The sequence below is a fragment of the Homo sapiens genome, chromosome 5 (genome assembly GCF_000001405.40).
Source record: "Homo sapiens chromosome 5, GRCh38.p14 Primary Assembly".
NCBI lineage: Eukaryota > Metazoa > Chordata > Mammalia > Primates > Hominidae > Homo > Homo sapiens.
Genome location: NC_000005.10, coordinates 134158618 through 134186221, shown reverse-complemented (window position 1 = coordinate 134186221; position 27604 = coordinate 134158618). Strand labels below are relative to the sequence as shown.

The window sequence follows — 27604 nt, the reverse complement described above, 5'->3', positions numbered from 1 at the left end:
TCCCCTGCACTCCTGTTAAGTATTCAACTGCCTACTTGACATGACTCAGATGTCTAACGTGCATCTCAAACAATTCCTGATCTCCCAAACACCTTCCACCCCAAATCCTGGTGTTTCCTATCTTAGTACCACCATGAATAGTACCACCATTCATGCAGTTATCCTTGACACCTGTTTCTCTCATCCTCCACATGTGGTTCATTAGCTACACCTCCAAATACATCTTTCTCTTTTATCTCTAATAACCCTGTCCTGGTCCAAGCCTTCTGAAAGGTCTTGCGGCTTCTCTTCTTCCACCCACTACAATCCACTCACACAATCACAAGAGCGCTCTTTCTATACTGTAAAGCGGATCCTGCCACATGCTGCTTACCTTCCATCACCTGAGGCTACTTAATGAAAATGGGATGAAGTGGCCAGCGGCTGTAATCACGCCTGTAATCCTAGCACTTTGGGAGGCTGAGGTGGGTGGATCACTTGAGGTCAGGAGTTCGAGACCAGCCTGGCCAACATGGTGAAACCCCGTCTCTACTAAAAATACAAAAATTAGCCGGGCATGGTGGTGGGCGCCTGTAATCCCAGCTACTCAGGAGGCTGAGGCAGAAGAATCGCTTGAACCCCGGAGCCAGAGGTTGCAGTGAGCCGAGACACCACTGCACTCCAGCCTGGGCAAGAGAATGAGACTCCATCTTAAAAAAAAAAAAAAAAAAGAAAAGAAAATGGGATGAAATTCCACTTTCTTCACAGAGCTTTTCATGATTTGGTCCTTACCTGCTCTTCTGCCCTCATCTGTTTTCACTCTCCCCCCATTCATTAATCTCTAACCATATTAGCCATACTGTTCCTGGGACATACCAAACTCATTTTTAGAGACACTTTTTCCATCTCTTTCTGTGGCTGGGGCCTTCTTATGCAGGTTTCTGCTTAAATGTATTGCCCTCTTCTCCCTTTATAACCCCACTTTGTTTTCTTCTCAGTATTTATCCACCTAACATTCTCTTATTTGTGCTTATCACATTGAACCCACTAGATGGTAAGCTCCCTGAAGGCAAAAATCCTTCTCTTCTTTACCACTGTCTGCAACATGATGGGGAGAGGGTGGTAAACAAATATTCACTGAATGACTGACTGGCATGGTCTATATCAGCAGCTTGCTGGGCCTAGACTCAGAGATTTTCCTGGAGAAATCCCTGCCACTCAGTAGTCCCTTGGCAGACAGGCCTTCCTGACTGCGCAGTTAACAGTCAGGCACTTGGCTTGCAAGACATACCCACGTCATACTTGACTACCTCACTGATGATCCCAGTCTAGCTCCTGGGATGTTCAGCAAGTCGGCCTGCCTGGAGCTCCATGGGTGGCTGACTGGCTGGGCTTTGCAGAGTTTTTAAATTGCAATTTCTCTCTGGTAGTCTTTGCCCCAGTGTGCTGGCTCCAGACGACATATTGGTGCTGGGGTCCTCTGGGCAGAGGGGTAGGGAGACTTAGCCGGTGATGATAGGTGATGCCTGTCATTGTTTTCTCATCTGTGAAGGAGTCCTCGCTGCATTGTACTGCACTGCTCTGCTCCTAACTGAGTCTTTCTGGCCCTGCTACCAGGTCCTGCATTTCACAGGTCTCTGTCAAACTCTACATTTCACAGAGGGACACTGTGACCCAGATGGCTGGGGGCTACTTCCATGGTCACGCTGTGGACATGGGATTAAGTTGCACTGGCATTCAGCCTCTGGTGGCCAGACTGGGTTTCTGGACAGGAGTCTGCGTCCTGGAGGGGAGAGAGGGCAACCTTTGGAGGGGCCAGAGGGCAAGCCTGGAAGAGGGCAGGCTCAGTGAAGATGCACCCTTGGGACAGCCACCTGGCTCTCTGGTGCCATCTGTTGGTCAGAGCCAGTCAGTACTGGTAGTTCTTGGGGGTTGACCTGGACCAGACGGACTCTAGAGCAATCCCGTCCCTGTCACTGCCTTAGCTTGGGCCCAGCATGGCAACTCTGAGCACATGGGGGGCACTGTGCACTCCTATGGTCTTCTCTCCTTGGAGAGAGGTGGGTGTAGCTCATGCTCTTCCGTGAAGTCAGACTCATCTGTGGTGAGTTAGCCAGACCTAGGTTCAAATCCCACCTCCCCATTTTCCTGCTCTATGGCCTGGGGCTGATTACTTAACCCATCTCAGCCTTGGCATCTCTCCTGTAAAATGCAGATTATAATAGTAACCACCTCCTAGGGTTGCTGTGAGATTAAAACATTATAAAGAAAGAGCTTAGCTCGGTAATCTGGCAGGCCCATGCTCCAGGAATGTTAGTGGCTATGCTTATGGGCTTGCTGATTTGGGCAGGATTACTGTTCAGTCCCTCCTTCATGGGTAGGCCCACTTTGGCTTGCCAAGACTCTCCAACCTACCCTAGACCCAAGGCAGTCTGGGGTTCCTGAAATCTGATGGTGCAGGGTACAGATGTGGGTCAAGAAATGTTTTCCTCCACCACTTAGGTGTAGATGTCACTTCTGCCTAGAGATTCCACAGCAGCTTCCCAAGGGCAGGTTCATAGTCCACCAGGGAAGGTATTGCACTGGCTGGCTCAGATAGAGGAAAGGAAGCTGTAACTTTCTGTAGCTTTGTCCAAGGTCTTAGTTGAACTCTTGGCCCATGGGCAGGTAAGTCCTCCCTGTGGCCTTGCAGAAATTCCTCACCTTCCCTCCCAACATCTCCTGTATTCCTCCAGCCTTGGCTCTGAAGGGTTGGGAAGCCATGTGAAGGAAAGGCTCCAGGGGCTCAGACTTCCTTCAGGAATTGACACTGGCATCATGTTAAGAATGTTACATGCATTCACACATTGTCACTCCCTCCTCGCTTTTTTTTTTTGAAACAGAGTCTTGCTCTGTCGCCCAGGCTAGAGTGCAATGGCACAATGTCAGCTCACTGCAACCTCCGCCTCCCAGGTTCAAGCGATTCTCCTGCCTTAGCCTCCCGAGTAGCTGGGATTACAGGCACCTGCCATCATACCTAGCTAATTTTTTTTTGTATTTTTGTAGAGACGGGAGTTTCACCATGTTGGCCAGGTTGGTCTCGAACTCCTGACCTCAGATGATCTGCCCACCTTGGCCTCCCAAGGTGCTGGGATTACAGGCATGAGCCACCATGCCCGAACTTTCTCCCTCTTTTCTGCTGAGTTATGATTTACATGCAGTAAAGTATACAAACATAATTGTAGTTCAGTGAATTTTTGTATGTACATACACTCATGAAACCACCATCTGGACCAAGATACAAAATGTTGGCCGGGCATGGTGGCTCACATCTGTAATCCCAGCGTTGGGAGGCCAAGGTAAGAAGATTGCTTCAGCCCAGAAGTTTGAGACCAACCTGGGCAACATGGCAAGACTCCATCTCTACAAAAAAAAAAATAGGCTGGGTGCAGTGGCTCATGCCTGTAATCCCAACACTTTGGGAGACCAAGGCGGGTGGATCACCTGAGGTCTGGAGTTTGAGACCAGCCTGGCCAATAGGGTGAAACCCTGTCTCTACTAAAAATAACAAAAATTAGCTGGGCATGGTAGCAGGCACCTGTAATCTCAGCTACTCAGGAGGCTGAGGCAGGATAATTACTTGAACCCAGGAGGTGGAGAGGTTGCGGTGAGCTCAGATCATGCCACTGCACTCCAACCTGGGCAACAAGAGTGAAACTCCGTCTCAAAAAAAAAAAAAAAATAGCCCAGATATACTACAGTGGTGTGCACCTGTAGTCCCAGCTACTCAGGAGGCTGAGGTGGGAGGATTGCTTGAGCCCAGGAGGTCAAGTACAGTGATTGCGCCACTGCACTCCAGGCTGGGCAATAGAGCAAAACCCTGTCTCAAAAAAAAAAAAAAAAAGAAAAGAAAAGAAACAGAAAAAGAAAAAAAATATTTAGCATCCCAAAAACTTCCCTCATCAATACTTGTCACCTGCCAAAGGTAACTATTCTTCTCTCACCGCAGATTCGTTATTGCCTGGGGCTTTTTTGGTCTTTATTGAAATGGACTTAAACAATCAATATTCTTGGGTTTAGCTTCTTTTGTTCAACATTGTTCATGAGATCCATCCACATTGTGTATATCAGTAGGTTCTTTTTCATTGCTGTTTAATATTCCATTAAGTGAATATACTACAGTTTTTTTTTCATTTTATAGTTGATAGATTTGTTCTTTCTTGACTCTTATGAATAAAGCTGCTATGAACATTCTTAAACATATTTTTGGTAGACATAAGTTCTTATTTCTGCTGAGTATATATCCAGAATTGGAGTTGCTGGGCCACTGGGTACATGTATGTTTAGTTTTAGTAGATACTGCCAGTTTTCTGAAGTGTGCCAATTTGTACTCCCACCAGAAATGTATGAGAGCTCCGATTGTTCCACATCCTTGCTAATACTTGGTATTGTCATTCTTTTAAGTTTAGCCATTCTGGTGACTAAAATCACTGATTTTCACAAAAATCCTGTGATGTATTGGTATTGTTATAATCCCCACTTTACAGACAAGGGGGCTGGGGCTCAGCAAGGAGAAGCCACTTATCCCAGATCACACAGGATGTTAGCAGCAAGTGGGCAACAGCAGGTCTGTGTGATTCCTCTGCCTCTGTGGCTGCATGAATTTTTTACTTTTTTTTTTTGAGATAGAGTTTCACTCTGGCACCCAGGCTGAGGTGCAGTGGTTCTATCTCGGCTCACTGCAACCTCCACCTCCTGGACTCAGGTGATCTTCCCACCTCAGCCTCCTGAGTAGCTGGGACTACAGGCGCACACTACTACGCCTGGCTAATTTTTGTATTTTTTGTAGAAACGGGGTTTCGCCATGTTGCCCAGGCTGGTCTTCAACTCCTGGGCTCCAGTGATCTGCCTGCCTTGGCCTCCCAAAGTGCTGAGATTACAGGCATGAGCCACAGCGCCCAGCCTGCATGAAATTTTAAAGTCAGAATATTTGAGTGTGTCAAATAATCTCTTATTTTCATAATTACTTTCTACAGCGCTTATTTCCATTTGACAGCAGAAATATAATCTGGCCACTTCCTGGCAAATTCAGTCAAGTAAGTGCATGATCACCCAGTCATTCCAGGGAATACTCAGTTGAGTGTTCTGTCCCTCCACTCCTATCCAGGGGCATGGTTGCATTCTGTGGAGGTTATGTGGTCATGGCATGGAGTGGGAAGTGAGGGGGTTAAGGTTGTCTGGTCCTTGGTCATCGTCATCTTCCTCTACTGCTCAGGGAGGCAGGCAGATTTCACCCCTGCCAGTTGTGGGTTGTCGTCTCTGGTTTCTACTGTGCCCACAGATGTCTGCATTCGTGCCATGGTCTCTGGCTTGGACTGTGGCTTTAGTGCTCCCTTTATTAGGTTTATTATCACAGAAGTTCTTTCCTGGTTATCTGCCCCCTCTCAGCAACTTCATGCTGTTCTAGGGCCTCACAACACATGCTAATGCTTCCTGGGATTCTCACAAATTAGGCATGGGCCTGAGATGCTCCCAGGGCCCCCTGCTTAGGCATACCCAGCTGCCATTTCTACTTGACTGCTACCATACTTTCTCATCATGGAAGATTATTTAGACCTTATCCACAGACAGATTCTCCCCTCTCTCAGAACCTCCAAACCTATCTGGGGTCCTAATCCCTCCCTATCCCTGGGTTGAGGGGATGGGAGAATGAGAGAGAGTCCCTTCTCAGAGACCCACACTAGAAGCTAACAGCATGCAGTGTTCTCCTCCCCACTCCAAGCCTGGCATATACCTTCTTTCCAACTCTTTCAACAGAGGAAGGTGAGGCCCAGAGAGGTGAAGTAAGTTACCCAAGATCACATAACAGAGGCAGGTGGTCTGACTTCAGAGTGGCTATGCTTACCCCTGTATTAGAGGACCAAGACTGAGAGAGTTGACACACAGCAGGATGCAGCCAGGGGACCCTTCACCATGTGGACTGAATACTTCTAGCTTACATGCTGTCCTATGGGATGGAACACATGTCTAAGTCCACAGTCTGTCCCATGGATGGGTGCATAAGAAATGGAATGAGAACTGAATTCTGGGCTGCAAAGTCTTGTTTGTTTGTTTACTTTGAGATGGACTCTTGCTCTGCCGCCCAGGCTGGAGTGTAGTGGCGTGATCTCCGCTCACTGCAGCCTCCACCTCCTGGGTTCAAGCAATTCTTCTGCCTCAGCCTCCCAAGTAGCTGGGATTACAGGCGCCCACCACCATGCCTGGCTAATTTTTTTTTTTTTTTTTTTGTATTTTTAGTAGAGACGGGGTTTCACCATGTTGGCCAGGCTGGTCTCAAACTCCTGACCTCAAGTGATCCTCCTGCCTTGGCCTCCCCAAGTGCTGAGATTACAGGCGTGAGCCACTGCGCCCAGCCGAGGGTCCCGTTTTAGATGCACTGACAGGGTTGCTCCTCATAGGAATCCTCCTGTGAATGCTTTATAGCAATGAAGACTCCAATGAAGACTTAAAAAGGAAGATCATTTCTGGAACTGAATTCATCATAAAAACTGGATTTTCCCATCTGGAATATTTGAATCCAAGGCTTTAGTTTCCCTGGAGGTAGTATGCTGGGAACAGTTGTAAATTAGAAAATGTTCCTGCATTTGAGGAATGGGGCTAAGATTGACTGCCTGGGCTGTGATGGCAGATACGTAGCTGGAGCTGGAGTGACGGCTGGGAAAGTCTCTTTGGTTTTGTTTCCTTCCTCTGTAGGACAAGGGGTTCTGAATACCCCTTGGTGTGGAGCATGTGGAGTGATTGGAGTAAGGGTGGAGCCTCAGCTTCCTCAGGGCCAGCTCTGGAAACATAGGTACCCCTGCTCCTCACACCCACACATGTATCCACACGTACCAAGGGGACTCTGTGGGGGCCAGTCCTTTCTGACCTGGGGTGATCACTATGGATAAATGAATGGAGAGGAGTCACTCCCAGCCTGTCCCACAGTGCTACAGCTACCTTGGCCCTCCCGAGTGGAGGTTTGAGAGAAGGTAGGGTTGATCCAGAAAGTATGGCGCTAAACTAGTCACCTCTGACGAACACTCTTGGCTCCTTCCTGGCAGTGCTTCACCACTGATACCCTACTACACAGGTTTATGCACTTACTCTGGGCTTGAGGATCACCTGGAGAACTGGTTTAAAGGGCAGAAAAACCTGCCCCCAGGGAGTTATTAGATTGAGAGTGGACCCAGGAATCTGCATTTTTCTTGAGCCAATTTATTTTTAAAGTTAAAAAATTTGAATATGTAATACATTCATGTGAATTGATACCCAAAAGATACAAAGGGGTATAAGGTGAAAAATTATTCTAACCCATCCCTCAGTGACCTAGTTCCCTTCCTCTGAGGTGACCAATTTCTTGTGTATCTTTCCTGAGATAATCTATACATATAGCACCATATACAAGCAAATGAAATATGTTTTATTTATTTTTTTGAGACTGGGTCTCACTCTATCACCCAGGCTGGAGTGCAGTGACACCATCTTGGCTCTCCGCAACCTCTGCCTCCTGGGCTCAGGTGATCCTCCCACCTTAACCTCCAGAGTAGCTGGGACTACACGCTCACACCACCACACCCACCTAATTTTTGTTTTTTTGTAGAGACGGGGTTTCACCATGTTGCCCAGGCTGGTCTCAAACTCCTGAGTTCAAGTGATCTGCCCACCTCGGCCTCCCAAAGTGCTGAGATTACAGGCGTGAGCCTCCACGCCCGGCCCCAAAATCTGTTTTAAAAGCAGACATTTCTTGGTGATTCTAATAAAGGGGGTTCTCAGACATATTTGGAAAAATATATCCCTACTTTTATGCCAGACCCTGTGCTGGGTCCCCGGGCTGTGTGACCTGACACTGCACAGTCCTGCTTAGAATGCTTAAAGAGAGTTAATAAGGTACCACCTTCTATGCCATAGGCGGGGAGCAAAGGGGCTCCAGTGGGCCCTGCCTAGGAGGCCTGAAGCTAGAGCTGCTGAGGGCAGGGCTGTGCTGCAAAGAAAATGTCTGAGAGCTGCAGGCGTTTCATCTTCTGTCATCAGCTGTGGCACCTGGCAGACACTGGATAGGCTTGTAGACAAAGACCTGGTAACTCAAGGAGCTGCTTGGCCTTCCTGCCCAGTCCCATCCCAGAGGCACTGTACATCTCTGGTTTCTTCAGGGGGCCCTGTGTGGAAGTATCTTTTGTCTTCCTGGTGTCAGGGATATCATCACGTGCCTGTTGGCTAGGCGAGCCCGGCGCCCAGTCTCCTAGGATGGGGAGAGTAATGTTCCCGAGCAGAACAGGGTGGGGCTTTCAGACTACTCCCTTTCCTTTACAGCTGGCTTCATTCCATCGACCTCATCAAAGCCTTCCTGGGAGCACCCTAGAGAAGAGTTACGTCCAGGCCGGGCCCTGGCTGCCTGGTTCACGGCGGAATCCCCAGCACCACGCCTCGCACGTCGGGCTCAAAGCATGTTTAGTGAAGGAGTAGGTACCTACTGCTAGATGGAGCCATCTCTCTAGACTTGGGGTTTCCCTATAACGATGGCTATGTTTGGCATGGAAGCCTCTTTAGAAGTCAATAGTAGGAAATAAGGGCTAACAGCACCTAATTGTGGAGTAAGGTTCAAATCCTAGCTCTGCCACTTAACCGTTCCGAACCTGTTCCCTCACTGCAGAGGCGAAAAGGCTAACACTATTTCACCTCGGAGGGTTACCGTGGAGAATGGAAGCTGGACAAGCTGTATCAGTTCAGTAGTAAAACACACACACACAAGCGCCCCACCCCCACCCCACCCCACCCCAGGAATGAACACACACACCCGCGCGCGCACATACACCTCAGGAATGAACACACGCGCGTACACACACACGCAGCCCCCCCCAGGAGTGAACACACACACACACGCCCCGTTCTGTTGTTCCCAGGAACACACACAGAGACGCACACACTCGCCCGGTTTTGTTTTTTCCAGGCTTTTTAACTGGGGTCTTTCACTCGGCTTAGGGCACCGCTGCCTGAAAGACCTTTCTAGGCCAGTCGGGGTCCGGCACCCAGTTGACGAGACAGCGCGGCGCTTTCAGAGCTGGGGAGAGGCGAAAACTCTTCCGGCCCCCCGATCCCCCGGCCAGCCGCCCCCGGCAGCTCCTTGCCGCCTCCCGGCCTGGGCCCGCCCAGCCGTTCTCGGCCTGCCGTCAGGCGATCTCGGCGGCCAGCCCAGCCGCGATGTGACGCCGCGCGCCCCGGGGTCCTCGGCGCCTGCGCCCTCTCCTATAAAGCAGACGCCGCGCCGCGCTGCGACGCTGTAGTGGCTTCGTCTTCGGTTTTTCTCTTCCTTCGCTAACGCCTCCCGGCTCTCGTCAGCCTCCCGCCGGCCGTCTCCTTAACACCGAACACCGTGAGTAGCCGCCCACTGAACTGGAAAGGGTCGTGGCTACCGGATTGCGTGCCGGCTGGCCTCACCGCTGCGGTTTGGGCCTGCCCGCGGCGGGCGGTGACTGGGCCTGGCCTTCTTTCGGGCCCGGTGGATCGCGTTGTCGACCCTGTTCTTCGGGAGACCCTACCAGGTTCCGTTCACCTGCCCCGCCCCCGACTCAGCGAGGCCTCCTCTGGCCGGGCGTCCTCACGGCGCTCCATAAGTGAGCCGAACCCCGGGCTGGGCCTTCTCTGCACCGGCCGAGCGTCAGCCGGCGCGGAGCTCGGCTGCAAGGCCCAGGCTGCGGCCGGGGGCCTCTCTTGGTCTTAAGCCTGCTGTCCCGGGGACCAGGGCGGGGGTGGCGGCGGGGTTGTGAATGGGGGTCCCTTGGCTGTCGTGAGCGTGGGCGTGTGTCGGTGTCTGGCTTTTGTTGTGGTCGGGAGGGAGAGCTGCGGTGGTGGTCTGAGGCCGCCCGGTTCTTGGCTCCCATCCTTTCTCCACCGTGTCTGGCGTCACTAGCTACCGGTCGGTCCTGGCTAACCGTGTGCGGGCGCCGGCTTTCTGCACATAGCCGCCTGCTCCATCTGAATATTTCTTAGCGTTGTTTTGCCATGACTTGGAGTCGTTGAGCAGATACCATCGTCAGAGTGGTGTGACTTGTAGGAGCCTTAACTGTGTATAACTTAACTCTAGGTATCTGGCTTTTAAAGAAATAGGACGTCTACCTGCTTTGATTCACTTTTAATGGAAACTTCACGTTTGGGTTTTAGGGACATGCATTTTTCCTTTAGAGCGTGACAGTAGAATGTATCCGTTTCATAGAACAATACCGTCTCCTCCACTGTGCAGTCTAAAAAGCAGTGTCAGAATTTCGGGTCACTTAAAGCGCAGGGGTTTTTTTTTCTATATGATGTGATAGAACCCGCTTTATGCTGGCCATGGAGAATTATTTACAAGTGCAGGAGCCTTTAGGCCTCTTTCTTTAGAATGGAATTGTTTTGAAAGCATTTCAAATAAATATTTCATCCATTATTACTTAAAAATTTTGCACTTTATTCTACTGTAACACTAAAACTTATCTTTGAGTTTAGTATTACCAAGTGCATCGAATTACAGATTAACCGATTGACCAGCTGCTATTTAGTAAGGTCTCAACTCCCTTAAGAGTAACCCAATCCACAAACTTGACTATGACTAAGCACTTATCTTGAGTTATTTGAAAGAAATATGAAACGGTCGTCTTGCTTTTAGAGTAATTTTAATCAACTGCATTGTTAGATTTGTGATTCTGCACTGTTCATTTCAGTACTATCTAATATAAAAATTACATGTTTAAATGTTTTATAATTAAAAATTGGGCTCAGGTTAAAATATTTTCTTTTGGAGATACCTTTTGTTGTGGTCTTGTCACAGGAAGGGTCCTCTACTCTGCATCCTTCTCCATTAAGCAGGGACAACTGCATTATTGGCAAGCGCTAAGCAACATGGAGAAGCAGACATGTTTGTGAATCGCAAAGTGAAATCTGATTCTCTCCAACTATGGATGAGTGAGAGTAGGATATTTCAGTGGCTGGTTTTAAAACATGCTTTACTTTTTTGCTTCCTTTGCCTAACAACCTGTTTGCTTTGGGGTTGGCGACAATTGTCTCAGAGAAGCTGAATGAATATTTTAACCGATGTAATGGGTCATAAGTCTTTGAACATAAAATGGGTGTGATGCATGTTTTAAATGCCAAATGATACACTTTTGGGAAAATATATGCGATTTGTAATACAACACACCTAGAAAACTTCAGAGGTGCCATAAGTTAATAGTGACATCACCGGATTATGAATACTTGAGAAGCATGGGCCTTTTAAAAGTTGTATGTGAGTTTTAAGAGGCCTTGAATTAATCTGTACCAGGTATTGCTATTCTTTTTGTTGTTGTTGTTTTCCTTGTTTGTATGTTTTCTTTTTTAAAAAAAGAATTTGAAGATGGTAAGAAATTGTTGGACTTTTAATTTTAAATGCCTTTTTTTTTTTTTTTGCCAGAACTCAAGTCCTTTGAAATTAAATGCTTAACTTTTTATGTAAGATTATATCTTTTTCCTAACGACTCATAATTAATCTGAATTAATAAATGCGTTTTCAGAGCAAGTAATAGGTTATTATTATGGAGATCTTGCCAAGAGATCTCAAAGTTGGTCACCTGGACAGTCAGTACTGAAAGATAAAAAGGGCTCTGAAATGAAGCTTTTAAGTAGATTTAGGGAATTGTACTCACATCTGCTTATCTTTAAATCATTTTATTCTCTTGTATATGGTCTTGCATTGCCTCAGACATAAATGAGCATATTCTGATGTACTCTTTGGATCTGAACTCATCTTCACAGGTAGGACTCACTGTGGGGAAAATTTCTATCTTATTTAGTAGCGTTGTTTGTTTTGGACTGACCTTCCTCAGGTTCGCATGTAGTTAATTGTGGCAGTTAACTGTTCAGATGGAGTCCAGTATTCAGTGGGAGACGAAAGGCAGGCAGAAAGCAAATACAAATATGTATGTTTTATTAAATTTATACCAATAGTGAGTTCAGTAGGGCAGGCCTTAAAAGCTTCTGTTCCTAGTAGTTATACTTTGAAAAAATTTTAATAGAAATACTCGGAGACTAACTTGTGAATAACTGCTTACAACAGTGCTTTACAGGGTTATGTATTGTAGGTTCTTAGAACTTTGTGGTCAATAAGTTAGAGCCTTCTGATGGACTGTAGTTGATGAAATGTCATGTAGAACTCTCTCTCTTAAATTTTATATTTAATGTCCTTTTTTTTTAGATGCCTTCAATTAAGTTGCAGAGTTCTGATGGAGAGATATTTGAAGTTGATGTGGAAATTGCCAAACAATCTGTGACTATTAAGACCATGTTGGAAGGTAAGTTCATTGGAAAACCTGGGTGGGAGGAAATGTGTAATTTGAGATAGTTTGTGAATATCAAATTTATATGAGCAGCAGCCTGTCATAAGGTGCTTGAGAGTATGAAGAGGTAAAGTTTACATTTTTTTCTTTATAACTTACATTTTTCTGATACAGGTCATCCTTTCTGCATTGTCTGAATTAGTGAGGGTCGTTCTCTCATTAAATGGATAAAATCATAAGGTAAAATAAACATTGAAGTGATTGCCAAGCCTTAGGCAATGGTTAATTTCTGTTCAAGTAAATTTGAATTCATAAGTTCCAGTGATAGAAATTAAGGTCTTTGGAAAAGAGATACCGTCCTATAATGGTGGCTGAATAGAACACCTTATTTCAGTGGAGGGAGTGAGCTCTGTGGATTGCTGTGTAGATTTTATTTATTGATTGATTTATTTGAGACAGAGTCTCACTCTTGTCCAGGCTGGAGTGCAGTGATGCAGTCACGGCTCACTGCAGCCTCAACCTTCTGGGCTCAGTCAGTCTTCCCACCTCAGCCTTCCGAATAACTGGGACTACAGGCACGTGCCACCACATCCAGCTGATTTTTTTGAGACGGATTTTTTTGCTCTTGTTGCCCAACCTGAAGTGCGATGGTGCAGTCTTGGCTCACTGTAACCTCCGTCTCCCTGGTTCAAGCGATTCTCCTGCCTCAGCCTCCCGAGTAGCTGGAATTAGAGGCATGTGCCACCAAGCCCGGCTAATTTTGTATTTTTGTTAGAGACGGGGTTTCTCCATGTTGGTCAGGCTGGTCTCGGACTCCCGACCTCAGGTGATCCGCCCACCTCGACCTCCCAAAGTGCTGGGATCACAGGTGTGAGCCACCGCGCCCTGCCCCAGCTGATTTTTTAATTTTCTTTTTTTTTTTTTTTTTGAGACGGAGTCTTGCTCTGTTGCCCAGGCTGGTGTGCAAGTGGCATGATCTCAGCTCACTGCAACCTCTGCCCCCCGGGTTCAAGTGATTCTCCTGCCTTAGCCTCCCGAGTAGCTGGGATTACAGGTGCATGCCACCATGCCTGGCTAATTTTTGTATTTTTTAGTAGAGATGGAGTTTTACCATGTTTGTCAGGCTGGTCTCGATCTTCTGACCTTGCGATCCACCCGCCTGAGGCTCCCAAAGTGCTGGGATTACAGGCATGAGACACCACGCCCAGCCTAAATGTTTTTATAGAGACAGGATCTCCCTATGTTACCCTGGTTGTTCTCGCACTCTTGGACTCAAGCCATCCTCCCACCTCGGCACCCCAAAGTACTGGGAAGAGCCACATTACAGGCATGAGCCACTCTGCCAGGCAGAATTTTTTTTTTTTTTTTTAAACAAGCTTTCTCTTTTGTCTGTTTTGTCATTCCTCTGAAACTACTACAAAGTATATATGCAGCATAAGGAAGTGACTTAGAAAACAGGTCTTGAAACTTTCGCTAGTTAATGTGGATCTCTTTTTAGTGTTACCAGTGGGGTGATACAAATCAGTGTCTGGAATTGATGAAAAAAACTTAGTAGTATTGAGTGTTCTTTAGTACTTAAATGTCAGAGGTTTTTTATGTAGGGAAAGATCAGTAGATTATAAATACTTGAACGAAGAGAAGGGTTATGTGCCAAGCTTTGGTGCTGGTGAAAAGAAGGTAAGTGAGACATGGCCTTTGCCCTTGAAGAATTTATAAACTAGGAGGGAAGTCAGACACAAACAAGGCAAACTTGTCACATGGTGTAATTAGTGCATTAATAAAGTTGCGCGCCAAGTGGCGCTGTGGGAACATCTTGGCTAGTGTTATTCTTGAGTCTTGAAGAGATTGCAGTATGTAATACTGGTGAGGATATTTCTTTTATTTATTTATTTTTTTGAGACTGAGTTTTGCTCTTGTTGCCCAGCCTGGTGTGCAGTGGTACAATCTCAGCTCACTGCCACCTCTGCCTCCCGGCTTCAAGCACTTCTCCTGCCTCCGCCTCCCAAGTAGCTGGGATTACAGGCATGTGCCACCATGCGAGGCAAATTTTGTATTTTTAGTAGAGACGAGGTTTCTCCATGTTGGTCAGGCTGGTCTCAAACTCCTGACCTCAGGTGATCCGCCCACCTCAGCCTCCCAAAGTGCTGGAATTACAGGCATGAGCCACTAAGCCCAGCCGAGGTGATATTTCAAATCTAGTAAAATTAGAATGTTTTGGGAGATCATTCTGAAGTAAAGTAGACAGGGTGTGCTAGGGAAAGTGAAAATACGGTTTTTAGTTGGGGTGGGATGGAATTGTGATACTGTAGTTGGTAGAGCTGAAAATGGGTTTGAGAGGAATGGAGAAGAAAATGACTTTGAGTTTAAACCATGTTTGAGATTCCTTCAGAAGATCTACTAGTAGCAGTCTACTAGGTGATTGAGTTTGTGGATATTGGCCCCAGAGTTAGACTGCTAGAGATAAGTAGACTTGTTTTATATATTGGGTTATGGGAGTTTAACTCTGGAAGATGATGATGTTGGGGCTGGGGTGCTAAGAGTATAGAAATCAGTAGTAGAGAATTAGTAGAGTATGATTTGTGGAAGCCAAGGGAAAAGGGGACATTTCTAGGTGACTAGAGTGATTGCCAGATTTATATACTGTAGACTGGTCCTTAGGATTTCATAGTTAATAAGTTAGAGGACTTCTAGCAGCAGATACTTAGGTGTGGTAGAGGCAGAAGCTGAATTGCAGAGGATGTGTCTTCTGTTTTGTTTTCTAAGTGGGTGACTTCTGTTTTCTGATAAAAGCTTAGAATTCTCTTTAGTAATTGGTACCAATCATAGTGGCCTTTAAAGTCCTGTATTCTGGTAACTTAAGATAACTTCTATTAAGTTGTAAACTCCTTGGTACATCCCACAGTCACTGTTCATCAAGTACCTATTGAATGAAGAGTATGTTGTGCTCACTAAAAAAAACTGAAAGCAATCCAAGTGTCCCTAAAAGGCAGGTGAGTAAGGTTTTATCCAGAAGATGTAGAAACTGATACCCGAATTGCTGCCTAAATACTTGCTTTGGCATTGAAAGTGTTCTTTATTTTATCTTGGTGCCTGACACACTAATCTGTCCTGTGCTGCTTCAAGGAAGCATTTGCCAATTTTAAGAACATAGGGCATCTTGAAGACTTACCATGCCAGCTTTGATCACTGAAGTAAGTGGACGGATAGGCAGTTAGCAACAATTAAGTTATTCTTTTACTCTGTTGCCTTTGGGAATCAGAAGTGAATGGTTTTATCTTAAGTACCAATGGCTTACATAAGATTCTAGCCTCTTGAGGGCTGGAGTCTTTTGAATTTGGCAACTTTCTGCTTTTTTTGTTTTCCACCTGCAGTATCTCTGGTTATGGGTTTTATGTGACTTAGAAAACAAAAATAAAACCTTTTAATCCACAGGACAATCAGAAGTGAGACTCTTGGCACATTTACATGTGGATTGAATGATTAGTTCAGGTCCAGGGTACAGTATCAGGATACAAGTGTCTTTCAGAAGTCCCTGAAACTAAATAGCTTAAAGGAATGACTGTTGCTACTTGTGCATTTAGTCTGAAAGCAAAAAATATCGTACATCCTTACTTTAAATGCTAGAGGATTTAAAGAGGATTACTTGAGCCCAAGAGTTCAAAACCAGCCTGGACAACATAGCAGGACCCTGTCTTTACAAAAAATAAAAAATTAGCTTTACAATCCTTTACAGTCATAAAAGCCTTTATTTTATTTTATTTTATTTTTTTGAGATGGAGTTTCACTCTTGTTGCCCAGGCTGGAGTGCAATGGCGCAATCTCGGGCTCACTGCAATCTCTGCCTCCTGGGTTCAAGCAATTCCCCTGCCTCAGCCTCCCAAGTAGCTGGGATTACAGGCATGCGCCACCACACCCAGCTAATTTTTTTTTTTTTTTTTTTGAGATGGAGTCTCACTCTGTCACCCAGGCTGGAGTGCAATGGCACAATCTCGGCTCACTGCAGCCTCCACCTCCTGGGTTCAAGCGATTCTTCTGCCTCAGCCTCCTGAGTAGCTGGGACTACAGGCATGCGCCACCACACCCGGCTAGTTTTTTGTATTTTTATTAGAGACGGGTTTTCACCATGTTGGTCAGGCTGGTCTCGAACCCCTGACCTTGTGATACGTCTGCCTCTGCCTCCCAAAGTGCTGGGATTACAGGCGTGAGCCGCCATGCCTGGCCAATTTTTTTGTATTTTTAGTAGAAACGGGGTTTCACCATGTTAGCCAGGCTGGTCTTGAACTCCTGACCTCAGGTGATCTGCCTGCCTCGGCCTCCCAAAGTGCTAGGATTACATGCGTGAGCCACTGCACCCGGCCAAAAGCCTAATTTTTAATGTGAGTTAAGCCTCGTTCCAAATTACATTTGGATCTAAACAAGCTGGTCTTCTGTATGTTTCCTCTAATATCTTAGTTCTCAAGATAAAAGTATTTTACATTTTATAACTTCTTTCTCTCACCTGATTAAAAAGATTTCATACTTGTTCAGGAAAGACATAAGTGACTTGTTCTACATAGAGCTTTACATGAGACATTGTCATTTTACAGTTTCACTCTAAGCTGAGATAGGATCAGGGATAGGCATTGGTGGGAGGGAGAAGAGAGGGGAGATGAGTGAATCCATCCATGCAAGATAACATGAATTATTTTTGAATCTACTTTCATCTTTACCGCTCCACTGGAACTGCTTATAAAGCTCAGTGAACCCCATGTCATCAAGTGCATTGTCTGTTTTCAGTTCTTATCTAGACCTGTTGACATCATTTGATGCTTGATTATTCCCCTCTTGACTTGGTTCCCAAAATTCCACTTACTGCTTACCTCACACCCTTCTGTCTTCCAGTCTTTAAAGCCTGCAGTTCCCCAGGGCTTCATCCTTGGACCTCTTCGCTATATCTCTACACAGCCATTTGCTTGATGATAGTCTCATAGCATTATAAACCATCTATACACCAGTTCCCAAACTTACCTGCAGTTGTGATTTCTTCTCTTGATTTCTGGACTTGAACATACAACTGCCCTTGGATATCTAGTATTTTACATTTATGAAACTAGAGCTCTTGATCCTCTCTTCCTAAAAATAGTTCCTCTGACAGCCTTCCCCTTACCAATTGGTGGCAACTTCATCCTTTTCATGCCATAAACCTTAGTGTACCCTGACTCTTTTCACATTCTACTTGCCATCTGTTGGCAAATTCTACTGTCTGTACCTTCAAAATGCAGACAGAATTAGGTCATTTCTTACCACCTCCTTAGCTACAAACCTTGTCCAGGCTATCATCTTGTGCCTGGATTATTGATAGCCCCGTAATTGTGTCCCTTAACCCATGTTCTTTAACTTCCTTACCCATAATATTGTTAACTGTTCCTCATATATCCTGTTGGAAAAAAGTGTATTTCTGTTTTTATTCGGATAATTTTCTTTTTTAACCTACTTTAAAAACTTTAATCTTAGGATCATACCATTATGTTTGGAGCTCCCTGCCTTGTTTTTGTCAGTGGCTGCATGATCTGTTTTGTGCGTGTTTGTGCGCATTTTTAGTATTTTTAGTGTGTATATGTATACACATCTCTAGGTTTCAGATTTGAATAGATTGAGATTTTATTACCTGTAATAGTTTTCATTATTTTACTTTTTAAAATACAGTTCATCTGGAGAATTTGATATAAAGGGTAAGGAAAGGGTCCATCTTTAATTTTTTCAGATGGCTACCCAGTCATTCAAGCCCAACTTACTAAATCACTTTTCCTACCAATTAAGAACTTATTTTATGTAATATTCCTTTATTTGTGTACTCACACAAGTTTATATAGTTTTGGGTGGTCATGGACTCCATCGTTAGGAGCCACCAATTTTTAAATGCTCCTAAGAGAGCTGTTCTAAGTAAAGTACTTTTTATATTCTTTCAGACATGTCTTATAAGTTATAGTCGTCCCTTGGTATCCATGGGGGATTGGTTTCAGGACACCCCTGTGGATACCAAAATCCACCAATACTCAAGTCCCTTATAATAAAACAGTGTAGTATTGGCATATAACATATGCACATCACTGTGTATACTTAAAATCCTCTCTAGATGGCTGGACGCGGTGGCTCACGCCTGTAATCCCAGCACTTTGGGAGGCTGAAGCGGGTAGATCACGAGGTCAGGAGATCGAGACCATCCTGGCTAACACGGTGAAACCCCGTCTCTCCTAAAAAATACAAAAAATTAGCCGGGCGTGGTGGCGGGTGCCTATAGTCCCAGCTACTCGGGGAGGCTGAGGCAGGAGAATGGTGTGAACCCGGGAGGCGGAGCTTGCAGTGAGCCGAGATGGCGCCCCTACACTCTAGCCTGGGCGACAGAGCAAGAATCTGTCTCAAAAAAAAAAAACCCCTCTCTAGATTACTTACAATGCCGGATACAATGTAAATGCTATGCAAATAGTTTTTATACTGTATTGTTTAGGGAGTAATGACCAGGAAACAAGTCTACATGTTTAGTGCAAGACACAGCCATCCATTTTTTTTCCCAATATGTTTAATCTGTGGTTGGTTGAATCCACAGATGTAGAACTCATGGATATGGGGGCTGACTCTTATGTTTTGAGACATAGCCTGGTTGGTATAAGTATTATAATGGAATTAGGAAATAGAAACTTTCTTCTGGTTTTCTTAGATTTGGGAATGGATGATGAAGGAGATGATGACCCAGTTCCTCTACCAAATGTGAATGCAGCAATATTAAAAAAGGTAAGGTCTTTAAAGAGTTTAAGTTTATTCTGCTTAATATATAACACCAATTGATTAATACAAGTAATTCAACAATCTATGTTAGAATTTTATAATTTACTGCTTAAAATTACATTTAAATTTGAATGTTCTTAAACACTTACTTGAGTGATGTTTGTATGTTCTTAAAATATACAGAAAAAAGTTCTGTCTGCTTTCTTGCCACAGTTGACTATTGTCATTTATTGGGCATCTGTACTGTGTCTACCTATGCAAACACTTCCCTAGGAAGGATGATCTACATGTAGAATATCTGGATCGCAGGTTGGCTTATATACCTAAATTTTGATAGATACTGTTAAATAGTCTTCTGTAAAGATACCACTTCTAGAGCATGGTGGAATTGAATCGTGACTGTCTTTCTTAGATTTATAATTTTGAAACGGCTAAAGTCAAAGGAATATGTAACACTTTGTTCCCATTTCTGTCCTTATCTATTCCAGTCCCCTTTCAGGTAGCAATTTATCCTTTCAGTATTTTGTAATACAGGTATTAACAAGTAAGTATATTTTTTTCCCACATTCTTTTTTTTTTTTTTTTTTTTTTTTTTGAGACCAGAGTCTTGCTCTGTCGCCAGGTTGGAGGGTAGTGGTATGATCTCGGCTCACTGCAACCTCTGCCTCCTGGGTTCAGGTGATTCTCCTGCCTCAGCCTCCTGAGTAGCTGGGACTACAGGCACACGCCACCATGCCCAGCTAATTTTTGTATTTTTAGTAGAGACAGGGTTTCACCATGTTGGCCAGGATGGTTTTGATCTCTTGACCTCATGATCTGCCCACCTCAGCCTCGCAAAGTGCTGGGATCACAGGTGTGAGCCACCGCGCCCAGCATTCTCCCCCATTCTTAAGGTAGCAAACTATACATTTCTATGTTTTTTTTTTTCCATATAACAAAATGAAAGGTGATATGTCTATGTTAGTTAATATATAGCATCTTTTTTTTTTTTGAGATGGAGCCTCGCCCTGTTGCCCAGGCTGGAGTGCAGTGGTGTGATCTCAGCTCACTGCAGCCTCTGCCTTCCGGGTTCAAGTAATTTTCCCTGCCTCAGCCTCCCGAATAGCTAGGATTACAGATGCCCACCACCACACTGGCTAATTTTTATATTAGACAGGTTTTCACCATGTTGGCCAGGCTGGTCTCCAACTCCTGACCTCAGACGATCTCCCTGCCTTGGCCTCCCAAAGTGCTGGGATTACAGGTGGAGCCACCATGCCTGGCTAACCTGAATTTTTTTGTGTTTGTTTGTTTTTTTGATCTCACTCTGTTGCCCAGGCTGGAGAGCAGTGGCACAATCTCGGCTCACTGCAGCCTCCACTTTCCAGGTTCAAGCAATTCTCCTGCCTCAGCCTCCCAAGTAGCTGGGATTACAGGCACTCGCCACCACGCCTGGCTAATTTTTGTATTTTTTAGTAGAGATGGGGTTTCACCATGTTGGTCAGGCTGGTCTTGAATTCCTGACCTTGTGATCTGCCCACCTTGGCCTCCCAAAGTGCTGGGATTACAGGCATGAGCCACCGAGCCTGGCATTTTTTTTTTTTTTTTTTTGAGACAGACACTCTGTCGCCCAGGCTGGAGTGCAGTGGCACGATCTCAGCTCACTGCAACCTCTGCCTCTTGGGTTCAAGTGATTCTCCCGCCTCATCCTCTCGAGTAGCTGGGATTACAGACACCCGCTACCATGCCCAGCTAATTTTTTTATTTTTGTAGAGATGAGGGTTTCACCATGTTGGCCAGGCTGGTCTTGAACTCCTCACCTCAGGCGATCTGCCTGCTTTGGCCTCCCAAAGTGTGAATGTTTTTACATGTGTTACTGGCCATTTACATTTTCTGCATTGTCTGTTTTCATTTCTCTGTTTTCCTAATGGTCTTAGAAAAATAGTGATAAAATATACATAACATTGATCATTTTCACTTTTTGAACGTGCACCATTCAGTGACATTAATTACATTCACAGTGTTGTGCAGCTATCACCACTAAGCATTTTCAGAACTTTATCATCCCACACTGAAACTCTGTACCCATTAAACTGTAACTTCCAATTTCGGTACACCCTCCCCCCTCAAAAAAAAAATTGGTACACCCTCCCCCCTCAAAAAAAAAAATTACGCTAGGTAAACACTATTCTACTTTCTGTATCTGAATTTAGCTATCCTGGATACATAATATATGGAATCATACAATATTAGTCCTTTTGTATCTGGCTTATTTCACTTAGCATAATGTTTTCAAGGTTCATCCATGTTGTTGTCTAATGAGCTTAAAAAATTGTGGTAAAATACACATAACAAAATTTACCACCTTAACCATTTTTAAGTGACAATTCAGTGGTATTATCTAATAGGCTTTTTATAAGAACTCTTTAAAAGTTTCTACCAGTTTGCTTGTCTTACGTTAATTCATGTTACGATTTAGAGGCTTTATTTTATCTAGTTAGATCTCATTCTTTATGACTTCTGAATATGTCTTGCAATTAACGTATTCTATTTTATACTAATGAAAAATGTTTCTAAAAGGATCTTTGCTTGTAGTCGAATGCCTGGTACATTCAAATGCCATCCAAAAGCTGGGGGTATAGCAGTGAACCAAAGAGACAAAATCTCTGCCCTTATGGAGTTTATGGTCTGAAGGGGTGGGGAATATGCAACATTAGAAATACATCAAATGGAAAAACTATGGAGAATAAAGAAGGGAATGGGGAATTTAAAGGGGTGAGTAGGTGAACAGTTAGCTGTTTTTAAAATAAAGATGGTCAGGAGATGTCTTACTGAGAAGATAATCTTTTTTTTTTTTTTTTTTTTTTTTTTTTTCTTGAGATGGAGTTTTGCTCTTGTTGCCCAGGCTGGAGTACAGTGGCACAACTTTGGCTCACTGCAGCCTCTGCCTCCGGGCTTTAAGCAGTTCTCCTGCTTCAGCCTCAGTAGCTGGGATTACAGGCGCGCGCCACCACGCCCGGCTAATTTTTTGTATTTTGAGTAGAGATGGGGTTTCACCATGTTGGCCAGGCTGGTCTCGAACTCCGGACCTCAGGTGATCCGCCTGCCTCAGTCTCTCAAAGTGCTGGGATTACAGGCTTGAGTCACCATCCCTGGCCGAAGATAATCTTTTAAACAAAGACGTGAATATTTGGGGGAAAAGAATTCTGGGATTTGGGAGCAAGTACAGTGACCTTAAGACAAGAGCATGCCCTGCCTTTTTAGGAAAGGCAAGGAGTTTAGTGGAAGCTAGAGCAAGAAGTGAGTAGATAAGGTCAGAGTTAAAGGGTTGGGTGATGTAGGGCCACTTCTGAGAATGAGAAGTGCTTGGTTTTTGGGGTTTTTTTGTTTGTTTGGTTTGTTTGTTTGAGATAGGGCCTCACTGTGTTGCCTGGGCTGGAGTGCAGTGGTGCAGTCATGGGTCACTGCACCTTCTACCTCCCGGGTTCAGGTGATCTTCTCACCTCAGCCTCCCGAGTAGCTGGGAGTACAAGCACATGCCACCACACTTGGCAAATTTTTGTATTTTTTGTAGAGATGGAGTTTCACCATGTTGCCGAGGCTAGTCCGGAACTCCTGGGCTCAAGCGATCTGTCTCCTTTGGCCTCCCAGAGTGCTGGGATTATAGGTGTGGGCCACCACACCCAGCCGAGAAGTTTTTTTTTTTTTTAAGCCTGTTTGTATTGAATATATATCATATTTTGAAGAATAATTACATGATGCCAAAACTATGGAAGTACAATAAAATCTCCTTTCCCTGTCTCTTATCTGATTGGAAACTGCTCCCCCCACAAAGTAATGTGGCATTTTTTTGTTTTTCTTTTTTACTGGCACCACCCGTTGTGAACCTAGGCATTAGTTTCTTTATATATCCTTTTAAGAGTTTTTTATTTTTAAATTTTTATTTTTTGTTAGTAGTGATAGTGATTTTTTTTTTTTTTTTTTGACAGAATCGCACTCTCTTGCTCAGGCTGGAGTGCAGTGGCACGATCATGGCTCACTACAGCCTCAGCCTCCTGGGCTCAAGTGATTCTCTTGCCTCAGCCTTCTGAGTAGCTGGGACCATAGGTGTGCACCACCAGTCCCATCTCATTTTTGTATTTTTCATAGAGACAGGGTTTCACCATGTTACCCAGGCTGGTCTCAAACTTCTGGGCTCAAGTAAGTCACCCACCTTGGCCTCCCAAAGTGCTAGGATTACAGGTGTGAGCCACAGTGCCCAGCCTATTATTATTATCATCATTTTTTGTAGAGACGGGGTGTCTCTATATTGCCCAGGCTATTCTTGAACTTCCGGCCTTAAGCAGTCCTGCCTCAGCCTCCCAAAGTGCTGAGATTACAAGTATGAACCACTGTGCCCAGGTTTAGAGTTTAAAAAATGCCTGGATAAGCAAATATTGACGTTTTTAAATTTTCTTATATAGTTGGAATACTTCCTAAAAAGCTATTATTTATTTCATTAAAAACCCTTAGCTGGGTGCAGTGGCTCACGCCTGTAATCCCAGCACTTTGGGAAGCCAAGGGGGGTGGATCATCTGAGGTCAGGAGTTCGAGACCAGCCTGGCCAACTAAAAATAAAAAAAAATTAGCTGGGTGTTGTGGCAGGCACCTATAATCCCAGCTACTCAGGAGGCTGAGGCAGGAGAATCGCTTGAACCCAGGAGGTGGAGGTTGCAGTGAGCCAAGATAGCGCCATTGCACTCCAGCCTGGGCAACAAGAGTGAAACTCAGTCTCAAAATTAAAACGAAAACAAAAACCTTTCGCTGGCCAGGCACAGTGGCTCATAGCTGTAATCCCAACACTTTGGGAGGGCAAGGTGGGTGAATTGCTTGAGTTCAGGAGTTTGCAACATGATGAAACCTTATCTCTACAAAAACAAAATACAAAAATGAGCCAGGTGTGGTGGCATGCACCTGTAGTTGCAGCTACTTGGGAGGCTGAGGTGGGAGGATCGCTTAAGCACAGGAGGTCGAGTGAGCCATGATCGCGGCACTGCATTCCAGCCTGGGTGACACAGTGAGATCTTGTCTCAAAAACAAACAAACAACCCTTTGCTTGGCTTTTCCTTATTGAAATTGTTCTTTCTTTTTTTTTTTTTGGATCCTGGCAATGTTTCTTGGCTCTGCCATTTTCTCTCAGCATTGTTTACTCCTCCAACATTTTGCTATGAAAAAGTTTTAGCCATACAGAAAAATGGAAAGAATTACACAGTAGACAACCATGTAGCCACTGCCTAGATTCTACAACTGAAAACACTTTCAGTATTGATTTTGGTCTTTATGCTGGTATGTATAGTCTAAGTAATCAGCTTCCTGAAACTTTATGGAGTAATTATTCTCCTATTAAGGAAATTTTGGGGCTTTTCCTGCTTTGTTCCTACACCAAATAGTCTCACACATGTGTCTAGGGTATTTGGAATTTGCTGGTTACAATATATGTACATATTCAGCTTTTCTGAGGAGTGCTGGATTAGCTTTCAAAGGGGTTATACCAATTTATACTCTCTAGAAGAGTTTGTGTTTCCTTTCCACTATTGCCCAACAATTAGTATCAGTTTCTTGATTTTTTTTCAATCTAGAGAAGTATCTGTAGTGTTAGTTTTGCTTCTAGTAAAGTTGAGCGTTCCTTATGTTTGGCTATTCAGATTTCATTTATTGGCTGTACATATTAACCCATTTCTCTTTAATGATTTTTGAAAGATTTTATATTCTCTCAGCTAATCATTGTTGTACATATTGCAGGTATCTTCCAGTCATTGTCCTAACTTTTCTTTTTGCATAGAAGCTTTTTAATGTAGTCAAGTACAGTACTCTGTCTGCATGGCTTGCTTTTATCTAATAAGATCTTCTCCCTTCTAGGGTTATAATGATTCTTCAAGCTTCATTTTTGTTTTTCAAGCTTGGCTGTTAATGGCTCAAGTCAACCTCTAGCTAGTTATTATTCCAATATAGGGATAAGTTGTCCCAGCAGTGGAATGAGTACCTTGTGACAAAGTGCCACAGAGGAATGAACTTTTGTTGTTGTAGGTCATTCAGTGGTGCACCCACCACAAGGATGACCCTCCTCCTCCTGAAGATGATGAGAACAAAGAAAAGCGAACAGATGATATCCCTGTTTGGGACCAAGAATTCCTGAAAGTTGACCAAGGAACACTTTTTGAACTCATTCTGGTAAGTTTTTAATGTGTAAGATAGCTCTACTCTAGAGCCTTTAAACACTTCTTATAGATTTAAATTTGCTAACTTCATTGACACTGAATTTTAATACTCTCTAAATTCAAATGTAACGCCATATTTAAATCCACATATCAGTAACACACTAAATGTAAATGGTCTAAACACAGTTAAAAGGCAGAAATTACCAGATCAGAAAAGCAAGCTTAGCTGTGCTGTCTGTAAGAAACCCGCTTTAAATATATAGACAGAACTAGGTTTAAAGAATGGAAGAAGATACGGTACACTAACACGAATCAAAAGAAAGCTGGAGTGACTATATTAAAATAGGTTTGGAGGCAAAGAATATTACCAGGGTTAAAGAGGATTATTTCATACTGATAAGGGGATCAGTTTTTTAAAAAGACATAACAATTATAAATTTTTATCTGGCTAGAAGCAGAACTTCCAAGAAGTGAAACAAAACCCAATAGAACTCAAAGAAGTCCACAAAGTGACAATCATAGAGATTTCAGCACCTCTCTCAATTAATATAACTAGACAGAAATCAGGATAACTTGATATAACACTATTGACCAAATTGTCTTAATGGATATTTATAAAATATTATATATATATATATTTTTGAGACAGAGTTTCACTCTTGTCACACAGGCTGTGGTGCAGTGGCATGATTTTGGCTCACTGCAACCTCCACCTCCCAGGTTCAAGCAATTCTCCTGCCTCAGCCTCCTGAGTAGCTGAGATTACAGGCATGAGCCACCATGCTCAGCTAAGTTTTTGTATTTTTAGTAGAGATGGGGTTTCACCATGTTGGCCAGGATGGTCTTGAACTCCTGACCTCAGGTGATCCACCTACCTAGGCCTCCCAAAGTGTTGGGATTACAGGTGTGAGCCACCGCGCCTGGCCTAAAACATTATATGTAATGATAGCAGAATACATATTCTTTTCAAGTGTATATTACCAAATAGACCATGTTCTGGGCCATAAAACAAGTCTCAGCTGGGTGCGGTGGCTCACGCCTGTGATCCCAACACTTTGGGAGGGTGAGGCGGGTGGATCACTTGAGGCTAGGAGTTCAAGACCAGCCTGGCCAGCATGATGAAACCCCATCTCTACTAAAAATACGAAAATTAGGCCGGGCGCGGTGGCTCACGCCTATAATCCCAGCACTTTGGGAGGCCAAGGTGGGCGGATCACGAGGTCAGGAAATCGAGACCATCCTGGCTAACATGGTGAAACCCCGTCTCTACTGAAAATATAGAAAATTAGCCGGGTGGGGTGGCAGGAACCTGTAGTCTCAGCTACTCGGGAGGCCGAGGCAGGAGAATGGCATGAACCCGGGAGGTGGAGCTTGCAGTGAGCCGATATCGCACCACTGCCCTCCAGCCTGGGTGACAGAGCGAGACTTCGTCTCAAAAAAAAAAAAAAAAAATTAGCTGGGTGAGATGGCACCCACCTGTAATCCCAGCTACTTGGGAGACTGAAGCAAGAGAATTGGCTGAACCTAGGAGGTAGAGATTGCAGTGAGCCGAGATCACGCCACTGAATTCCAGCCTGGGTGACAGAGTGAGACGGTGTCTTAAAAAAAAAGTCTCCATTGTAAAAGGATTCAGGTCATACAAAGTATGTCTTCTGACTGCAATGGAATTAGAAATCACAAACAGAAAGGTATCTGGAAAAATCTGCAACTACTTTTAAACTAACACATTTGCAAGTAACCTATGGGTCAGAGAAGAAATAGAAAGTATTTTGAGCTGAGTGGAAGTAAAACACATGAAAAATCGGTGAGATGCAGCTAAAGAAGTACTTAGAGGGAAATTGATGGAATGAAATACCTATATTATTAGAAAAGAAGAAAAGTTTCAAATCGGTGATCTAAGCTTCCACCTTAAACTAGTAAAAGATGAAATTAACTACAAAGTAAACAGAAGAATGAGAATATTAAAGGGCAGAAATCAATGAAATAGAAAACAGGTAAACAATAAAGTCAATGAAACCAAAACCTGTTTTTTAAAATGAGATCAATATAGTGCTATAACTGCTTACGTTTGAACTCTTTAAGTGTGGACAAATATTTTTGCCAAGACCTGATGTGGTATTTGTGTGCATGTGTACACACATACACAACAGTAGTGGCCGTTATTTCACATTTGAGCTAGTATAGTTTGGTTAAGGAAGCAGAAGGATTCAACATTATAGAGGTATAACAAAGAAGGTCACATAAAAGTCTTTCACAGAAGAACTTAGGAGTGATTTATTCTTCTCCCTTTAATTTCTTAAAATTAGCATTTTAAGCTTTATTAGATACGGAGTGTCAATCATTAACTTTGGATTTAGTTTAAAACATCAAGTATACTTTAAG

General features: G+C 44.1%; 1 protein-coding gene across 2 annotated transcripts in view, besides 4 other annotated features; it reads left to right on the top strand.

The window, feature by feature from the left end:
- Window positions 7854-8368: an enhancer, noted in NCBI's record as "H3K4me1 hESC enhancer chr5:133513545-133514059 (GRCh37/hg19 assembly coordinates)". NCBI's record gives its function as "activates a minimal SCP1, AML or CMV promoter by ChIP-STARR-seq in primed H9 embryonic stem cells {active_cell/tissue: H9 hESC(primed)}" and the evidence as "EXISTENCE:reporter gene assay evidence [ECO:0000049][PMID:30033119]".
- Window positions 9042-9121: a silencer, noted in NCBI's record as "silent region_16356". NCBI's record gives its function as "represses an Ori minimal core promoter by ATAC-STARR-seq in GM12878 lymphoblastoid cells {active_cell/tissue: GM12878}" and the evidence as "EXISTENCE:reporter gene assay evidence [ECO:0000049][PMID:35858748]".
- Window positions 9272-9521: an enhancer, noted in NCBI's record as "active region_23136". NCBI's record gives its function as "activates an Ori minimal core promoter by ATAC-STARR-seq in GM12878 lymphoblastoid cells {active_cell/tissue: GM12878}" and the evidence as "EXISTENCE:reporter gene assay evidence [ECO:0000049][PMID:35858748]".
- SKP1 (S-phase kinase associated protein 1) overlaps window positions 9272-27604 on the top strand; it is a 28016-nt gene continuing 9683 nt past the window's right edge. For both annotated transcript variants that reach the window (NM_170679.3, NM_006930.4), the window contains exons 1-4: window positions 9272-9367; window positions 12200-12296; window positions 18979-19052; window positions 25092-25235. In NM_170679.3, the coding sequence (NP_733779.1) occupies window positions 12200-12296; window positions 18979-19052; window positions 25092-25235 (315 nt within the window). In that variant the 5' untranslated portion in view covers window positions 9272-9367. The remainder of the gene's footprint in view (window positions 9368-12199; window positions 12297-18978; window positions 19053-25091; window positions 25236-27604) is intronic.
- Window positions 9612-9891: an enhancer, noted in NCBI's record as "active region_23135". NCBI's record gives its function as "activates an Ori minimal core promoter by ATAC-STARR-seq in GM12878 lymphoblastoid cells {active_cell/tissue: GM12878}" and the evidence as "EXISTENCE:reporter gene assay evidence [ECO:0000049][PMID:35858748]".